Source organism: Homo sapiens, chromosome 17, assembly GCF_000001405.40.
Source record: "Homo sapiens chromosome 17, GRCh38.p14 Primary Assembly".
In the NCBI taxonomy this organism is placed as follows: domain Eukaryota; kingdom Metazoa; phylum Chordata; class Mammalia; order Primates; family Hominidae; genus Homo; species Homo sapiens.
Window position 1 is genome coordinate 31976688 of NC_000017.11, and position 18226 is coordinate 31994913.

The window sequence follows — 18226 nt, forward strand, 5'->3', positions numbered from 1 at the left end:
TTATATTGATTATTTCATTGCCTTTGTTTCTTTTTATTCTTACGGATGAAAAAACAAATTTGCAAACACTGAATTTTTGTCTGTTTTATAGAAAACAATAATTAAGGAACTATTCGGATAGATAGCTCAGTTAAACTTACTTATTTGGCGAATATTTTCTGAGTGTCTACTCTTTGCCAGACACTGTTCTAGACATTAAGAAGGCAACAAAATCCCTGCCTTCACCATGGAGCTTAACTTTTAGTGGAGGAAACAGACCACCACCCAAAAAATCAACTAATGTCACTTAGTGATGAGTGTTGTGAAGAAAAATAGAGAATAAATGGTTACTGTTTTAGAGAGATATCCTCTGGGAGGAGGTAGTATTTGAGAAGAGACTTAAATGGACTGGGCCCTACGTAAATCTTGGGGTTATGTGTTTATTAAAAATTAAGGAAGAGGAGCTGGTCATGGTGGTATGTACCTGTAGTTCCAGCTACATAGGAGGCTAAGGTGGGAGGATTGTTTGAGCCCAGGAGTTCAAGGCAGCAATGAGCTATGATCATGCCACTGTACTCTGGCCTGAGTGACAAAGTGAGATCCCATCTTTTTTTTTTTTTTTTTTTTTTAGAATAGTGTCTCACTCTATCACCCAGGCAGGAGTGCAGTGGCGCAATCTCTGCTCACTGCAACCCCTCTGCCACCTGGGTTTGAGCAAGTCTCCTGCTTCAGCCTCTGGAGTAGCTGGGACTACAGGTGCGTGCCACCACGCCCAGCTAATTTTTTGTATTTTCAGTAGAGACGGGTTTCACCGTGTTAGCCAGAATGGTGTCGGTCTCCTCATCTCGTGATCCGCCTGCCTTGGCCTCCCAAAGTGCTGGGATTACAGGCGTGAGCCACCATGCCTAGGCGAGACCCCATCTTTTTTAAAAAAAGAAAGAAGGCCGGGCGCAGTGGCTCACGCCTGTAATCCCAGCTCTTTGGGAGGCTGCAGTGGGTGGATCACGAGGTCAGGAGTTCGAGACCAGCCTGGCCAAGATGGCGAAACCCTGTCTCTACTAAAAATACAAAAATTAGCCAGGCACGGTGGCGTGTGCCTGTAATCCCAGCTACTCAGGAGGCCGAGGCAGGGGAATCGCTTGAACCTGGGAGGCAGAGGTTGCAGTGAGCCGAGATCACACCACTGCACTCCATCCTGGGTGACAGAGCAAGACTCTTGTCTTAAAAAGAAAAGAAAAGAAAATCATGTATAATGATTGTGTACCTCTGTGCATTTGGTACAGGATGGCAAGAAACACAGACTTATTAAATATTTCTGCAATTTCTGTTTGGAAACGAAATATTTTAGTGAAAATATCACCAGTGAAAGAATGTCTGGGAAGCAAATCCAGCATTTTTTCTTTTTGGGATTGGAGAAAGAAACCTATGCCGTCATTTCTTGTACCAGGCTGCGTGCTGGTAGTTAACAGTTTATTGTCAGGTATAGGACAAAGAACCAGGGAAAGTAACTAGGCCATTCCTCCTATTGTTTATTTTTTATTTATTTATTTGTTTATTTTTGAGACGGACTCTCGCTGTGTCACCCAGGCTGGAGTTCAGTGGCATGATCTCAGCTCACTGCAACCTCTGCCTCCTGGGTTCAAGCGATTCACCTGCCTCAGCCTCCTGAATAGCTGGGATTACAGGCACCTGCTACCATGCCCAGCTAATTTTTGTATTTTTAGTAGAGATGAGGTTTCACCATGTTGGCCAGGCTGGTCTGGAGCTCCTGACCTCACATCATCCACCTGCCTCAGCCTCCCAAAGTGCTGGGATTACAGGTGAGCCACCGTGCCCGGCCAGTGTCTTTTTAAAGTCAGAAATTTTATTGTGGATCGAAGATTTAAATGGAAAACAATAGAACCATAAATGTACTAGAAAATAGTGGTCATGTCTGTGGGGGAAACAATTAGAATGAGGCGCATTGGACTTCATCGATGCTGTTAATTGTTCTATTTTAGGCAGCATGGGGTATGTTCTATTTTCTTTTTTAATCACTGTACCTGACACATATGTTTACACATTTCTTGTAAGAAAAAGATAATGCTTTTATTTTAAAGAAAAAGTGCCAAGAAGAAACTGGGAGAATTTCCCCACAGCAGCTTATTTTGAAAATATTCACCCGGGCATGGTGGCTCACGCCTGTAATCCCAGCACTTTGGGAGGCTGAGGCGGGCGGATCACGAGGTCAAGAGATCGAGACCGTCCTGGCCAACATGGTGAAACCCCATCTCTACTAAAAATACAAAAATTAGCTGGGCCTGGTGGTGCGTGCCTGTAGTCCCAGCTACTCGGGAGGCTGAGGCAGGAGAATCGCTTGAACCCAGGAGGCGGAGGTTACAGTGAGTTGAGATCGCGCCGCTGCACTCCAGCCTGGTGACAGCGAGACTGTGTCTCCAAAAAAAAAAAAAAAAAAAAAAGAATTCAAAACGATAGGAAAGTTGAAAGAATACTAAAGTCATTTAATATCCACATACCCTTCATCTAGATTGTATCTGTTGTTAACATTTTGCCACATTTGATTTATTTATGAGGCTATATTTTATTTTTGTGCTGAATAATTTGAAAGTTTGCTTTATTCCTCATTTATAAACTCTCTTGCATGTATCTCCTAAGAACGAAGACATTTTCTGATATAACCACCGTACCCTTATGAGGAAAATTAAAATACAAATACAATACTATCTCCCCAGTTGACCTCAATAATGTCCTTTATAATTTGTCCTGTCCCCACCCCGATTCCATAGCTAGATGTCATAGTTCTTCAGTCTCCTTCAATTTGGAATAGTCCCCCTAGCCTTTCTCCCTACCTTCTGTGACATTTTTCCCCCAGTATAGGCCTGTAGTTTTGCAGAATGTATCTCAATTAGGACTTCTGTGGTGATTTCCTCTTGATTAGCTTCAGGTTAAATATTTTTGGCAGGGATTCTAATGAGTGATGTGTTCTTTACGTACTACATCACAGACAAAAGGTAATATTAGGTTTGATCACTCAGTTAAGATGCTGTTCACAATATTTCTCCATTGTAACAGTACTTTTTTCCCTTTTATATAAATCAGCATATAATTCTTATGCTAATACATGAAGCTGAGTAAATATCCATTTTCTTCCCATAGCCTTTCACCCAATAGTTTTAGCATTGATTGATTATTTTTGCTTGAATAAATTATTCCTTTGGCAGTTGGAAAATGGTAATTTTCTAACATTTCTTCCACATTTATTTGCATTTTTATATAAAGAAGAGCATTCGTTCTCTGCTCCCACTGCTTCACTTGACTAACCCTAAAAAATATATATATATGTATAGAGAGAGAGAGAGAGAGAGAGAGAGAAACAGGCAGGCATGGTGACTGATACCTGTAACCCTAACACTTTGGGAGTCCAAGGCGGGAAGACTATTTGAGCCCAGGAGTTTGAGACCAGTTTGGGCAACATAGCAAGACCTCGTTCCTAAAAAGAAAAAAAAAATTTTTTTAAAGTTACATGTAAATTTAAAAAGAAGAGCATTCCTTTCCCTAGCTTTGATATTTTAAAATCAGTATGGATTAACAAATTCTATTTATTCAATTAGTTTTAATCTATTGATACTGTTATTTTAATGCTCAAATTGTCTCATATTTTGTCAGGAGGAGCCCTTCTAAGTAGGCTTCTGTGTCCTGTTTTGTTGCTGCTATTTTTTCCTGATTTTCTAGAATAGTAAGATATACCAGAATCACCTTCTCCTTTTTTTTTTTTTTTTTTTTTTTTTTTTTTTTTTTTTGAGACGGAGTTTTGCTCCTGTTGCCCAGGCTGGAGCGCAAAGGCACCATCTCAGCTCACCGCTACCTCTGCCTCCCGGGTTCAAGCGATTCTCCTGCCTCAGCCTCCCGAGTAGCTGGGATTAAGGCATGCGCCACCATGCCTGGCTAATTTTGTATTTCTAGTAGAGACAAGGTTTCTCCCTGTTGGTCAGGCTGGTCTTGAACTCCCGACCTCAGGTGATCCTCCCACCTCAGCCTCCCAAACTGTTGGGATTACGGGCATGAGCCACTGCGCCCCGGCCTACCTTCTTCTTTTCTTACCTCTGCTCTGAAGTTGTGATTTCTTCAAGGAGTCCTGATTCCTTATAGAAGAATAGTATTTTTAAGCCAAAATCTGCATGTTAGATGTGTAAAAATTGTTTTTAAAATCTCACAGAGGGCTGAGTGCAGTGGCTCACACTTGTAATCTTAGTACTTTGGAAGACCAAGGTGAGAGGATCTCTTGAGCCCAGGAGTCTGAGGCTGTAGTGAGCTATGATTGTGTCACTGCACTCTAGCCTGGGTGACACAGCGACTGTCAAAAAAAAAAACCAAAAAATCCAGTTAATTCCTTGAAATAATAACCAATATTCAAAAGCCTTATAGGAAAAGAATGCAAAGTTGAACAAAATAAAAATCAAAAACTTCTTCAGAAAACAAAAAAGCCACCATAACCAAAGTCAAAAATGACAAGATGGGGAGAAATTATTTTCAACTTGTCTTTCAGGTAGATGTCTGTCATTCTTGAATGTAAACAGGTCATACTAATTTTAAAAGACCACTGCCCAATAGAAGAATGGGCAAAAGAAACAATAAGAAGTTTACCAAAATAGATACATATGGTTCTTAAACAATTAAAACGACAAAACATCTGAATTAAAAGTACACTGAGATGCGTTTTTTCACTTATCAGATTGACAGAGACCAAAAAACTTGATAAAGCACTTGATCAGGCTGTGGGGGAAAAGTCTCCACATACATTACAGATAGGAGGGTGCATTGGATTGTAGGTATCAAATGTACACCCACAAAATGGAATAGTACGTATCTATGTAAAAGCATAAGGAAGCTCCTTTTTGATTTAGAAATATATGAATTTATTACCTCTTTGAGTAAATAAATTAGTTTTTAAAATAGTTGAATGGCTTTGCTGATGTACTATTGAAGTTGACTAAATTTAAGTAGTACAGCATAGAGAAAAGACAAAAATTCTTAAGTGTCAATCATTTGGTTTTAAGAGACTTTAGAGACAGACACCTGGATTCATTTGCTGGATCTGGCTATTTACGGTTTGATTTTAAGGCAAGTTATTTAACCTTTTCTTGCCTCAGTTTTCTCTTCTGGCAGTGGAGTAATTGTACATAGTTCATAGCATTGTTGGGAAGATTAAATGAACCATGTAAAATCTTTATAATAGTGCCTGGCACATAGTGAACACTCAATAAATGTCAGCTGTTTTTACCTAATAGAATTTCTCTAAGAGTGATGAAGAGAAGCCAGTTTCTTGATATATACAGTTAATTACTGAGCATGGTTGAAGAATGGTGTTTAGAGTAGTAGTGGTTACTAGTGTTTAAAGTATGGAAAAAATAAGTTATACATAGACACATATGTACACACACCTTAAAACTATATTGTGTGAATATATTTGAATTATTTGATTCAATTAGTATTCCATGAAGTGTTTATTGAGCACCTATATGTGCCAGGTGCCCCCAGAATTCCGTAGTTACCAGATTCGTCATTATAATAATCAGTTTACTGGTCAAGTATAAAAGTAAAGGATTCTAGTTCAAACAATTACAGTAGTTAAAGGTAACAGAATTCTTAGTGTTTCCCTAAGACAAGCATTGTTTGTAACACTATTATCCTATTTTTAAAAATATAAAGCCTGGGCTGGGCGCGGTGGTTCACGCCTGTAATCCCAGCACTTTAGGAGGCCAAGATGGGTGGATCACGAGGGCAGGAGTTTAAGACCAGCCTGGCCAAGATGCTGAAACCCATCTCTACTAAAAATACAAAAATTAGCTGGGCATAGTGGCACGCGCCTGTAATCCCAGCTACTCGGGAGGCTGAGGCAGGAGAATCGCTTGAACCTGGGCAGCAGAGATTGTGGTGAGCGGAGATTGCACCACTGCCCTCCAGCCTGGGTTGCAACAGAGCAAGACTCCATCTCAAATAAATAAATAAATAAATAAAGCCTGTACTTACGCTTTATATTTAATGTTGACAACGTACCAGGTTTTGAGACCTCAGGCATATTATACTTTACATGTTTAGAGTTATATCTGAGTAGCTACAGTAATGAATTCCTAGTAATACAGTTTTTAGTGTACATCATTAAAATTGCTTTCATCAGGACTGGAGTGTAGCTGTATTTTTAAAATCTTGTTGGGTATGTAAGCTAGTTTATAAATTTAATAAATGGTTTTAGTATAAATCTAAAGATGTAGAATTTGTGTACTTATAGTAATAACACAGGTTACTTTAAAGTATATGTGTTTGTCTAACAGGCGCTTACAGCTTTTAGATGGGGAATATGAAGTAGCCATGCAGGAAATGGAAGAATGTCCAATAAGCAAGAAAAGAGCAACATGGGAGACTATTCTTGATGGGAAGGTATGGACTACTTAGAAGGTTGAGCACGTTATAGTTATGAACTCCCATTTTTGACTGATGTTTTCTTCCCCAAATGCTAATTCATGTTGGAAGTAGAGTCCTTTGTTTTTTATACTTTAAAAAACACAAGTAAATGATCTAGTCAGAGCATTTAACGGAAGGTATCATTCTTTTTTTTTTTTTTTTTTTGAGGGGGAGTCTTGCTCTGTTGCCCAGGCTGGAGTGCAGTGGCATGGTCTCGGCTCACTGCAACCTCCACCTCCCGGGTTCAAGCGATTCTCCTGTCTCAGCCTCCCAAGTAGCTGTGATTCTGTGATTCTGCGTGCCACCACGCCTGGCTAATTTTTTTTTATTTTCAGTAGAGACGGGGTTTGACCATGTTGGCCAGGCTAGTCTGGAACTCCTGACCTTGTGATCTGCCCACCTTGGCCTCCCAAAGCGCTGGGATTACAGGCATGAGCCACTGCACCCGGCCACACGGAAGGCATCATACTTTGAGAGCCAGACTGCCTGATTCAAATGTCTGCTCCTAGCTATGTGGCGTTTGGCAAGTTACTTATCCATGTCTCAGTTTCTTCTCCTGTAACATGAGACATAGAATTGATGGATTAGATGAAATAATAAAATATTTAGTACAGTGCCTGGCATACAATAAGTGCTCAATAAATGTTAACGGCTATTTTAAATTCTATTCATTGTAATGGCAGGTAATAAGGGATGACTAGTAATACATTTATCAAGAAATCTGCAGAATTTAGATTAAGCGTACTTAAGATAACTCTTTTAAGAGATAAAGAGGAATCCATGCATTTCTTAAATAGGTAGATTCAAAACTGTAACGATGTCTTTTATTTCTAAATATGTTAGATCAGTGTTACCATCCAATGCAAAATCTCATAAGGATTTTTTTAAGCCTTAAAATTAGTTCCAAGTCAATCTAGAAGGATAAGTATTTAGTAATACTAAGGGAAATTTTAGAAAAATATTTTGAGAATTTTTACTTACCAGTTTTAGTATGATATACGATATACAGTAGTACATACCATAAAGTTAAGAGAACTTAAACCCTATGGTATAAGCATAGGAATAGACAAGCATATCATTCAAGCATATCATTCAGGCATAGTCCTGAAATAGTTTGATGTATATTTGAAATTTAGTTCATGATAAAGGTGGTGGTATAGCTATGTGAGAAAGAGAAACTGTTCATTAATTGTGACAACTCTTCTCCAGTCATCTGGAAATAATCTTAGACCTAATACATTCTGCAAGGCTCATAAACATGTAAAAATGAACATTCATAAGCATGGAAAAAAAATAGGTGAATGTTAATATACTGCAGTGAGGAAGACCTTTCTAAGGATGATTGAAAAGTAAGAAAGCATAAAGTAAAAATTGTCGGGTTAAAATTAGTCATTTTTATACTGCAAAATATCTAAAGTTACAAACAAATTATGGAATGGGGGAAGTATCTGTAACACAAAATGCTAATATGAATACATAATATTGTGAATTATAAAACAAGAAAAAGATACGCAGTCTAATAAGAAATATGTGTCAAGGACTCTCACGCAGTTCTTAAAAAAACAAATATAGATGGCCAGCAGACTTTTAAAGCAGTACTCAACCTTATTAGTACTCAAAGGCATGCAAATGCAGAGATACTTTTGAGAGTTCGACAAAGATTAAAAGTTTGACAGTTTCTAGTGTTTTAGGGACGTGAGGACACATATACTCTCAAATAATATTTTGATGTAACAGTAAGTTGGGGCCGGGCTCAGTGGCTCATGCCTGTAATCCCAGCACTTTGGGAAGCCAAGGCGGGTGGATCACCTGAGGTTATGAATTTGACACCAGCCTGGCCAACATGTCAAACCACATCTCTACCAAAAACACAAAAATTAGCCAGGCATGGTGGCAGGTGCTTGTAGTCCCAGCTACTTGGGTACTTGGGAGGTTTAGGAGTATTACTTGAACCTGGGAGGCAGAGGTTTCAGTGAGCTGAGATTTTGCCACTTCACTTTATCCGGGGAAACAGAGCAAGACTCTGTCTCAAAAAAAAAAAAAAAAAAAAAAAGGTTGATACAGTCTTACTATAGGGCAGACTGGCAATATATATAAAGTTAAAATTGTATATATAGTCTTTAACAATTCAAATTTTATATTTTTGTCACAGTGTAGTAACTTGTTAACAAAAGATGTAGGTAACAGGTTTTCTCAGCATTTTTTAAATAATGAAACATTAGAAACATGTTAAATCTAAAAAGCTATTAAAAAGGATGATAGTTTACAAGATTTCCATATTAAATTTTTACATAACTGTATACATATATATATATATATTTTCCCTGTTTCTAAAATTTATAATAGTGGTTAACTCCAGGTGATGAGATTTCAAATAATTTTTATCTATACTGTTTGGGTTTTCTGCATGGATTTATCTTTATGATCTTTTTCATTTTAAATTTCTTGTTTTAAAGTATGTTTTTATTCATGAGACTATAAGGATTATATATATGAAGAGTTTTTGTTGTTGTTGGTTTTGTTTTTGTTTTTTTTTTGTTTGTTTTGTTTTTGAGATGGAGTTTCACTCTGTCACCCAGGCTGGAGTACAGTGGCATGATCTTGGCTCACTGCAACCTCCGCCTCCCGGGTTCAAGCGATTCTCCAGCCTCAGCCTCCTGAGTAGCTGCGATCACAGGTGTGCACCACCATGCCCAGCTGATTTTCATATTTTTAGTAGAGATGGAGTTTCACCATGTTGGCCAGGCTGGTCTCGAACTCCTGACCTTGTGATCCACCCGCCTCGGCCTCCCAAAGTACTGGGATTACAGGCATGAGCGACCGTGCCCGGCCTGGCCTTTTTTTGTTTGTTTCTGTTGAGATGGAGTCTCGCTCTGTCACCCAGAGGTGGAGTGCAATGGCGCGGTCTCAGTTCACTGCAACCTCTGCCTCCTGGGTTCAAGCAATTCTCTTGCCTCAGCCTCCTGAATAGTTGAGATTACTGGCATGCGCCACCAGGCCTGGGGGTTTCACCATGTTGTCTTGGCTGGTCTCAAACTCCTGACCTAAGGTTTTCCACCCACTTCGGCATCCCAAAGTGCTGGGATTACAGGTGTGAGCTACTGTGCCCGGCCTATCTGGAAGCTCTTAACCCTGTAAAATGGGCATCCTTTTAAGTCAGAGCATATAGATTTACTTCTTTTTAAAAGTTCTGAGATTTTTTGTTTTGTTTTGTTTTGTTTGGGTTCCTTAATTGACTAAACCAGTGCTGGTCTAATAGATAATTGGGTTATTTGATTTTTTTTAATCTTGTCAAAAATGTTAATAGTGATTATACTTGAACCTGTATCAAGTATTTTATAAGATAAATTCCTGTGGACTGCTGTGTCCAAACTAGTCTCTGAACACACTTTTACTACATTCTAGTCTAAGTAGTTTTTTGTTTTGTTTTGTTTTGTTTTTTGAGATGGAGTCTTGCTCTGTCTCCAGGCTGGAGTGCAATGGTGCAATTTCGGCTCACTGCAACCTCTGCCTTTCGAGTTCAAGCGATTCTCCTGCCTCAGCCTCCCAAGTAGCTGGGATTACAGGCGCCAGCCACCATGCCCAGCTAATTTTTTGTATTTTAGTAGAGACGGGGTTTCACCATGTTGTCCAGGATGGTCTCGAACTCCTGACCTCACGATCTGCCCTCCTCGGCCTCCCAAAGTGCTGGGATTACAGGCGTGTGCCATTGCGCCCGGTCCTCTAATCTAAATAGTTTTAAGAGGATTACTTTGTAATAATGATATAGAAGGAGTTTAGGCCTCTGTGGCAGTAAAATAAATTGAAGCTCATTGAAGACTACTTGATCTCTCCTATATTTGAATAGGAAAGTAAAAATCAGAAGCAAGTAGAACAACTGAGATACTCTAGTAGTAAGGCAATACTGATCTATAACAAAGGTTTTTTTGTTTTTTTGTTTTTTTGTGATCCTTGAAGGACAAGGAAGAAATGATAAACATTTTAAAAAGGACTTGGTAATTGCATGAGAAACGAAAGGATAGGAGTCAAATATAATTCCAAAATTTTTAGCTTAGGGTCACTAGTAGAATGATAATGACAAGAACAAAAATAACGTGAGAAGGAAAGTGTTTTAGAAGAAAAGATACTGGATACACTTCTAAACATGTTTTAGTTCAAGGTGACATTGAGATCAACTGGCAGTGTCCAAGAGGCAATTGGAGATACGAGTTTACAGTTCAAGTGTAAGGATAAGAATGCAGAACCAATTTGGGATCATCAGCTTAATAGGTAAATTCTTGAGGATGGTTGAGTGATTCGGTCAGATGGCTAAAAGTTAGCTATTTTCAATAGCTCAGTGTTGTAAAATCAAAGAAGGGAAGCACTGGCAGTCATTGTCAGTGAAACTGAGAGAAGTCAAAGAAAATTACTAATTGAAAAGCTGTTCAATTTACAAAAAAAAAAGTAATTGGTCACCTAAGAGCAAAGGTTGCATGCTGGTGGGCTTTGGGTACCACAATTTTATTTTTAAGACATTTCAAGGCCAGGCGTGGTGGCTCATGCCTGTAACCCCAGCACTTTGGGAGGCCGAGGCAGGCAAATCACCTGAGGTCAGGAGTTCAAGACCAGCCTGGCCAAGATGATGAAACCCCGTCTCTACTAAAAACACACACACAAAAAATTAGCTGGGCGTGACGGCAGGTGCCTGTAATCCCAGCTACTTGGGAGGCTGAGACAGGAGAATTGCTTGAACCTGGGAGGGGGAGGTTGCAGTGAGCTGAGACCATGCCAGTTGCACACTAGCCTGGGCGACAAGAGTGAAACTCCATCTCAAAAAAAAAAAAAGACATTTGAACTGGTTAGCAACAACCTAAATGGGAAATTTTCCCATGATAACTTTGATTTCTGACCTATTTGGAAAAATCTGAAAATCTGTCTGTGTTGGACGAGTGTTTTCACATGGCAACAATTCACCTGTTGCTGATCAGTGGTCGCCTCTTTTAGACAGCCTGTGCTCTCCAGTTCAAGTTCTACAGTGTCTGGTCCATACTTTTACTTTGTTTGCCTAGCCGTCTCAGTCAGCATTTGGATTTTCAAGACAAATCTATTAAGGCAAATCCACATTGACTTATAATGAATTTTTTTTAATTTCTACAATTTATTTGAATTCATTATCTGAGTCTCCAGTCTTTGCATGTTTTTTATTTTTTAGAGGCTGCCTCCATTCGAAACATTTTCTCAGGGACCTACGTTGCAGTTCACTCTTCGTTGGACAGGAGAGACCAATGATAAATCTACGGCTCCTATTGCCAAACCTCTTGCCACTAGAAATTCAGAGAGTCTCCATCAGGAAAACAAGCCTGGTTCAGTTAAACCTACTCAAACTATTGGTAAGAAAACATTGCAATCAAAATAATAAAATAATGGTTTGCAGAGTTAGGTCTTGTGCTTTAGATTAATTCATTTGTGTTTTGCTTTATGTGATTCTTCTTTTTTTTTTTTTGAGATGGAGTCTTGCTCTGTTGCCCAGGCAGGAGTGCAGTAGCGTGATTTCGGCTCACTGCAACCTCTGCCTTGTGGGTTCAGATGATTCTCCTGACTCAGCCTCCCGAGTAGCTGTGACTACAGGCGCATGCCACCACACCTGGCTAATTTTTTGTAGTTTTAGTAGAGACAGGGTTGGCCGAGCGCAGTGGCTCAACACCTGTAATCTCAGCATTTGGGAGACCGAGGCGGGCGGATCACAAGGTCAGGAGATGGAGATCATCCTGGCTAACACGGTGAAACACCGTCCCTACTAAAAATACAAAAAAATTTAGCCAGGTGTGGTGGCGGGCACCTGTAGTCCCAGCTACTTGGGAGGCTGAGGCATGAGAATGGCGTGAACCCAGAAGGTGGAGGTTGCAGCCGAGATTGCACCACTGCACTCCAGCCTGGGAGACAGAGCAATACTCCATCTCAAAAAAAATAAATAAAAGTAAGTCAATAAATTAAAAAAGTAGAGACGAGGTTTCACCATGTTAGCCAGGATGGTCTCCATCTTCTGACCTCATGATCTGCCCGCCTCAGTCTCTCAAAGTGCTGGGATTACAGGTGAGAGCCACCTCTGCTGGCCTCTATGTGATTAGCCTTTCAGAATATTATCTGGCTTATTGGGTAGGTTATGAATCATGGTAAATTAAGGTTCTCCTATATTAAGTGTAAAGTCTTGTGTTGAAGTAGTAGTAAAAATTCTTTATCCAGAACCTTTGTGCCAAGTGTGCCTAGAAATTTGAATTGAAAAAAAAAATTGAAGCGTGATATGGTACATAGTATAGATATCATATATAACATCTTGAAGTGGGGTCCTCATGGTAAGTTAGAGCAAGTTTTTCCACTAAACAAATTTGCCAGAAACTTACAAGAAAACTATTGGTTTTCAGATTAGCTTTTAAGATTTTGGAATCACAACTACAAAGAGCTTTGGAACTAAGTTGTTTTTTTTTGTTTTTTTTGTTTTTTTGTTTTTTGAGACGAAGTCTCACTCTGTTGCCCAGACTGGAGTGCAGTGGCTTAATCTCGGCTCACTGCACGCTCTGCCTCCCTGGTTCATGCCATTCTCCTGCCTCAGCCTCCTGAGTAGCTGGCATTACAGGCGCCTGCCACCACGACCAGCTAATTTTTTTTTTTTTTTTTGTATTTTTAGTAGAGACGGGGTTTCACCTTGTTAGCCAGGATGGTCTCGATCTCCTGACCTTGTGATCCGCCCGCCTTGGCCTCCCAAAGTGCTGGGATTACAGGCACGAGCCACTGTGCCCAGCCCAGGAACTATGTTTTTTATAACTCACATATAAGTTTTTCTGTTTGTTTGTTTTGTTTGTTGTTTTCTTTTTTGAGATGGAGTCTCGCCCAGGCTGGAGTGCAGTGGTGCGATCTCAGCTCACTGCAAGCTCCACCTCCTGGGTTCATGCCAATTTCCTGCCTCAGCCTCCCGAGTAGCTGGGACTACAGGCGCCGGCCACCATGCCCGGCTAATTTTTTTTTTTTTTTTTTTTTTTTTGGATTTTTAGTAGAGATGGGGTTTCACCGTGTTAGCCAGGATAGTCTCAATCTCCTGACCTCATGGTCTGCCTGCCTCGGCCTCCCAAAGTGCTGAGATTACAGGCGTGACCCACCAGGCCCAGACTAACTTTTTTTGTATTTTTAGTAGAGATGGGGTTTCACCGTGTTAGCCAGGATGGTCTGGACCTCCTGACGTCGTGCTCTGCTCACCTGGGCCTCCCAAAGTGCTGAGAATTACAGGTGTGAGCCACCGCGCCCAGGCTGCAGTGCGGTGACGTGATCTCGGCTCAGCACAACCTCCGCCTCCCGGTTTGAAGCAATTCTCCTGCCTCAGCCTCCCGAGTAGCTGACATTACAGGCACACAACCACTAGGCCTGGCTAATTTTTGTATTTTTAGTAGAGACAGGGTTTCATCATGTTGGCCAGGCTTGTCTCAAACTACTGATGTCAGGAGATCCACCCATCTCGGCCTCCCAAAGTACTGGGATTACAGGCATGAGCCATCGCGCCCAGCCAGTTTTTAAGAGGAAAAAACATTTACAAATAGAGTTAACTTTCTGCTGAGTTTAAGGCCCAAGTTGCAGTGTTCTATCATTTTTATTTTACTTTTTTTTTTGAGACAGGGTTTCTCTCTCTCACCCTGGCTGGAGTGCAGTGGTGCCATCTCAGCTCACTGAAACCACCGCCTCCCAGGCTCAAGCGATCCTCCCACCTTAGCCCTCCATATAGATGGGACTACAGGCTCGTGCCACCACGCCCTGTTAATTTTTGTATTTTTCGGTAGAGATGGGATTTTGCCATCACCCATGCTGGTCTCAAACTCCTGAGCTCAAGCAATCTACCTACCTTAGCATCCCAAAGTACTGGGACTACAGGCTTGAGCCATTGCGCCTGGCCAAGTTCTGTCATTTTTGTGTCTGTCCAGTAGGTACATTGTCCTTGACCTGAGAGAGCACTCATGTGTCTTTATCTGCCTGTTTAAAGAAGGCAGAAGGCGTAAGTTGTCCTCCTTGACCACTCATGTACACTCATTGTGTGCAGGTGACAGTAATGGTCAGATTAAAGAGATATAAGAAATGGGGCCGGGCGCAGTGGCTGACATCTGTAATTCCAGCACTTTGGGAGACCAGGGTGGGTGGATTGCTTGAAGCCCAGGAGTTCAAGACCAGCCTGGGCAACATAGTGACACCCTGTCGCTTATAAAAAATAAAAAATATAAATAAAATAAGAAATGGCTTGTGTCAGGGGAAAGGTTTTGCAAGTAAACTGTAGTATGGGCACTTCTCAGAATACTCAGAAACCAGTGAAATAGGTAAAAGGTTGCATCAAAACTAAGAAAAAGTTCTATACAAATTATACCTAATTGTTAATTATGTAAGGAAATATAAATACCTTTTTTTCTTATATCTGAAAGGAAATATACCAGAATCATTTGTCACTATCTTTTTAGATTTGAAATAATTATTTTTTTTGGAGACGGAGTCTTGCTCCGTCACCCAGGCTGGAGTGCAGTGGCGAAACCTCAGCTCACTGCACCCTCTGCCTCCCGGGTTCAAGCAATTCTCCTGCCTCAGCTTCCCAAGTAGCTGGGACTACAGGTGTGTGCCACCATGCCTGGCTAGTTTTTTTTCATAGAGATGGGGTTTCACCATGTTAGGCAGGCTGGTCTCAAACTTCTGACCTCAGGCAGTCTGCCCACCTCGGCCTCCCAAAGTGCTGGGATTACAGACATGAGCCACCGTGCCCAGCCTGAAATAATTTTAATATAATAAGTATAACTTACTTTCTGATAAACCAACACTTAGTGCCTGCTCACACCTGGGATCTGAGAATACAAACACCAATTAAAACCACACTCTGGGCTGGGCACGGTGACTCATATCTGTAATCCTAGCAATTTTGGAGGCCGAGATGAGCAGATTGCCTGAACTCAGGAGTTCAAGACCAGCCTGGGCAATATGGTGAAACCCTGTCTCTACTAAAATACAAAAAATCAGCCGGGTGTGGTGGCGGGCGCCTGTAATCCCAGCTACTCAGGAGGCTGAGGCACGAGAATTGCTTGAACCCAGGAGGTGGAGGTTGCAGTGAGCTGAGATTGTGCCACTGCACGCCAGCCTAGTCACCAAAGTGAATCTGTCTCAACAACAACAAAAAAACACATTCTGACCTCAGAGTGCTTAAAACAGCATGGTAATGACATATAATTACTTGGAGTTACTTTTATAATTGTTTAGGACATAGGAGGTGGTTTTTTGTTTTTGTTTCTGTTTTCCTTTTTTTGACAGAGTCTTCCTCAGTCGCCCAGGCTGGAGTGTAGTGGTGCGATCTCAGCTCACTGCAAGCTCTGCCTCCCAGATTCACGCCATTCTCCTGCCTCAGCCTCCCGAGTAGCTGGGACTACAGGTGCCCACCACCATGCCCAGCTAATTTTTTTGTATTTTTAGTAGAGATGGGGTTTCACTGTGTTAGCCAGGATGGTCTTGATCTCCTGACCTCGTGATCCACCCGCCTCGGCCTCCCAAAGCACTGGGATTACAGGTGTGAGCCACCGCGCCCGGCCCTGTTTTTGTTTTTTGAGACGGAGTTTTGCTCTTGTCATCCAGGCGGAAGTGCAGTGGTGTGGTCTTGGCTCACTGCAACCTCCGCCTCCCGGGTTCAAGCAATTCTGCTTCCGCCTCCTGAGTAGCTGGGATTGCAGGTGCCCGCCACCACGCCCTGCTAATTTTTTATATTTTTAATTAGAGATGGGGTTTTGCCACGTTGGGCAGGCTGGTCTCTAACTCCTGACATCGTAATCCTCCTGCCTTGGCCTCCCAATGTGCTGGGATTACAGGCGTGAGCCACCGCGCCCGGCCAGAGGTGCTTTTTAAGGAAAAAAATAAGTCCTGCCAATAGACCTTAACATCAGATTAGGGATGCTGAATTATGGGTATTTTTCCTGCGATCATCAGTTGAGGGAGATAACAGAAATATATTTAAATACCACAAGTAGAATTCTGTGAAACCTTTAATATTTAATAGTTTTTGTGAGGTATGTTATTTTGCTTTTCAAAAGCAATGTTTTTATTGAATATAAAAGTGTATGTTTTCAGCTGTTAAAGAATCATTGACTACAGATCTACAAACAAGAAAAGAAAAGGATACTCCAAATGAAAACCGACAAAAATTAAGAATATTTTATCAGGTAAACATAGCTGACCCTTCTTAAAGTAATTATGAAATGTATTTGTTTTTTGTATGTCAAACATGAAAATTTTTTGTTCATTTTTATTTTATTTATTTATTTATTTGAGACAGGATCTCACTTTTTTGCCCAGGCTGGAGTGCAGTGGTGCAGTCTTGGCTCACTGCAACCTCTGCCTCCTGGGTTCAACCTGATTCTCACGCCTCAGCCTCACGAGTAACTAATTACAAGCACATGCCACCACTCCTGGCTAATTTTTGTAGTTTTTGTGGAGACGAGGTTTTACCATGTTGCCCAGGCTTGTCTTGAGCTCCAAGCGATACATTTGACAGTGTCTGCCTTGGCCTCCCAAAATGCTGGGATTAACAGGCGTGAGTGACCTCGCGTCACTGGGCATATTTAATTAAAGAGAATATCTCTAATTTGATTTTCCGCTTAAATTTTTTAAACTATTTTTAGAAGTGATATTTAAACAAAATATCTTGTTATGCGTAAATTGGAGATTTGCTTTTTTTTTTTAATTGTTTTTAGTTTCTCTATAACAACAATACAAGGCAACAAACTGAAGCAAGAGATGACCTGCATTGCCCTTGGTGTACTCTGAACTGCCGCAAACTTTATAGTTTACTCAAGCATCTTAAACTCTGCCATAGCAGATTTATCTTCAACTATGTTGTGAGTAATTTTTCATATTTTCTCAATTTGTGTTAAGAAATCTCTTGTACCCCATAAATATATACATCTATGTACCCACAAAAATTTTTTAAATTAAAAAAGGGAAAAAATATGCATTAAGTACAAGATAGCATGACTTTCAAAAATTGTACTTTGTATAAAAAACAAATTTCTGTATTTGATAGATTGCCGTATATATGGATTACAGTGAATGATTCAGAGTTGACATATATTTGGAATTATAATTAATGTTTGTGTAGTGTCTCTAATTGACTCACAAAATCCTCAACCAACTCTTTGAATTAAATGATAATTTTCTTATTCTTGCTCAACCAAGAAATAATTTGTACAAAGTCACCAAGCAATAAATGACATAGTTAAGATTTTAACACATTTTGTTGACCCCAGGTCTTCTGACTGCCTGTTTACCATGCTGGTGTGCCTGGCCTATTTTAGTTTTCTAAATATTAAGAGCCCACAAATTCTTTAATTAAATTGGAGGGATATTTAGGATAGGATACTTAATATATTTTTTTTTTTACATTTTTGTTGCAGTATCATCCAAAAGGTGCTAGGATAGATGTTTCTATCAATGAGTGTTATGATGGCTCCTATGCAGGAAATCCTCAGGATATTCATCGCCAACCTGGATTTGCTTTTAGTCGCAACGGACCAGTTAAGAGAACACCTATCACACATATTCTTGTGTGCAGGTAGGTAAAAAGGGCATATAAGAAAAGTTTAAGCTCTGATTTTTACTGATGTTGGAGGAACAAAGGAGCCAGATGAAGCTACTAGTTCGTTAGGTGGAAATTATTATTTTTCAGTATTAGGTGTCTATGGGGTTGTTAACTACTTTATAACACTTGATAGCTCCTATTTCTACAGAGAAGTTTTCTCACTTT

The 18226-nt window shown here is 40.4% G+C and overlaps 1 protein-coding gene across 7 annotated transcripts in view, besides 5 other annotated features; it reads left to right on the plus strand.

Annotated features, from left to right (window-relative positions):
* Positions 1-18226, plus strand: part of SUZ12 (SUZ12 polycomb repressive complex 2 subunit) — a 64032-nt gene that overhangs the window by 39681 nt on the left and 6125 nt on the right. For 6 of the 7 annotated variants that reach the window (XM_047435704.1, NM_015355.4, NM_001321207.2 and 3 more), the window contains 5 exons: positions 6312-6417; positions 11633-11810; positions 16555-16646; positions 17178-17321; positions 17877-18034. In XM_047435704.1, the coding sequence (XP_047291660.1) occupies positions 6312-6417; positions 11633-11810; positions 16555-16646; positions 17178-17321; positions 17877-18034 (678 nt within the window). Of the gene's footprint in view, positions 1-6311; positions 6418-11632; positions 11811-16554; positions 16647-17177; positions 17322-17876; positions 18035-18226 lie in introns of those variants that run through there. The other variant, XM_047435707.1, reaches the window with a different exon arrangement.
* Positions 2451-2552: a non allelic homologous recombination region, noted in NCBI's record as "sub-region R268011', recombines with sub-region R268011 within the SUZ12P1 PRS4 recombination region". NCBI's record gives the evidence for it as "EXISTENCE:nucleotide sequencing assay evidence [ECO:0000219][PMID:22837079]".
* Positions 2451-4327: a biological region, named in NCBI's record as "SUZ12 PRS4 recombination region". NCBI's record gives its function as "recombination_partner: LOC108783652".
* Positions 2680-2754: a non allelic homologous recombination region, noted in NCBI's record as "sub-region R53327', recombines with sub-region R53327 within the SUZ12P1 PRS4 recombination region". NCBI's record gives the evidence for it as "EXISTENCE:nucleotide sequencing assay evidence [ECO:0000219][PMID:22837079]".
* Positions 3495-3719: a non allelic homologous recombination region, noted in NCBI's record as "sub-region BR5', recombines with sub-region BR5 within the SUZ12P1 PRS4 recombination region". NCBI's record gives the evidence for it as "EXISTENCE:nucleotide sequencing assay evidence [ECO:0000219][PMID:22837079]".
* Positions 4075-4327: a non allelic homologous recombination region, noted in NCBI's record as "sub-region BR6', recombines with sub-region BR6 within the SUZ12P1 PRS4 recombination region". NCBI's record gives the evidence for it as "EXISTENCE:nucleotide sequencing assay evidence [ECO:0000219][PMID:22837079]".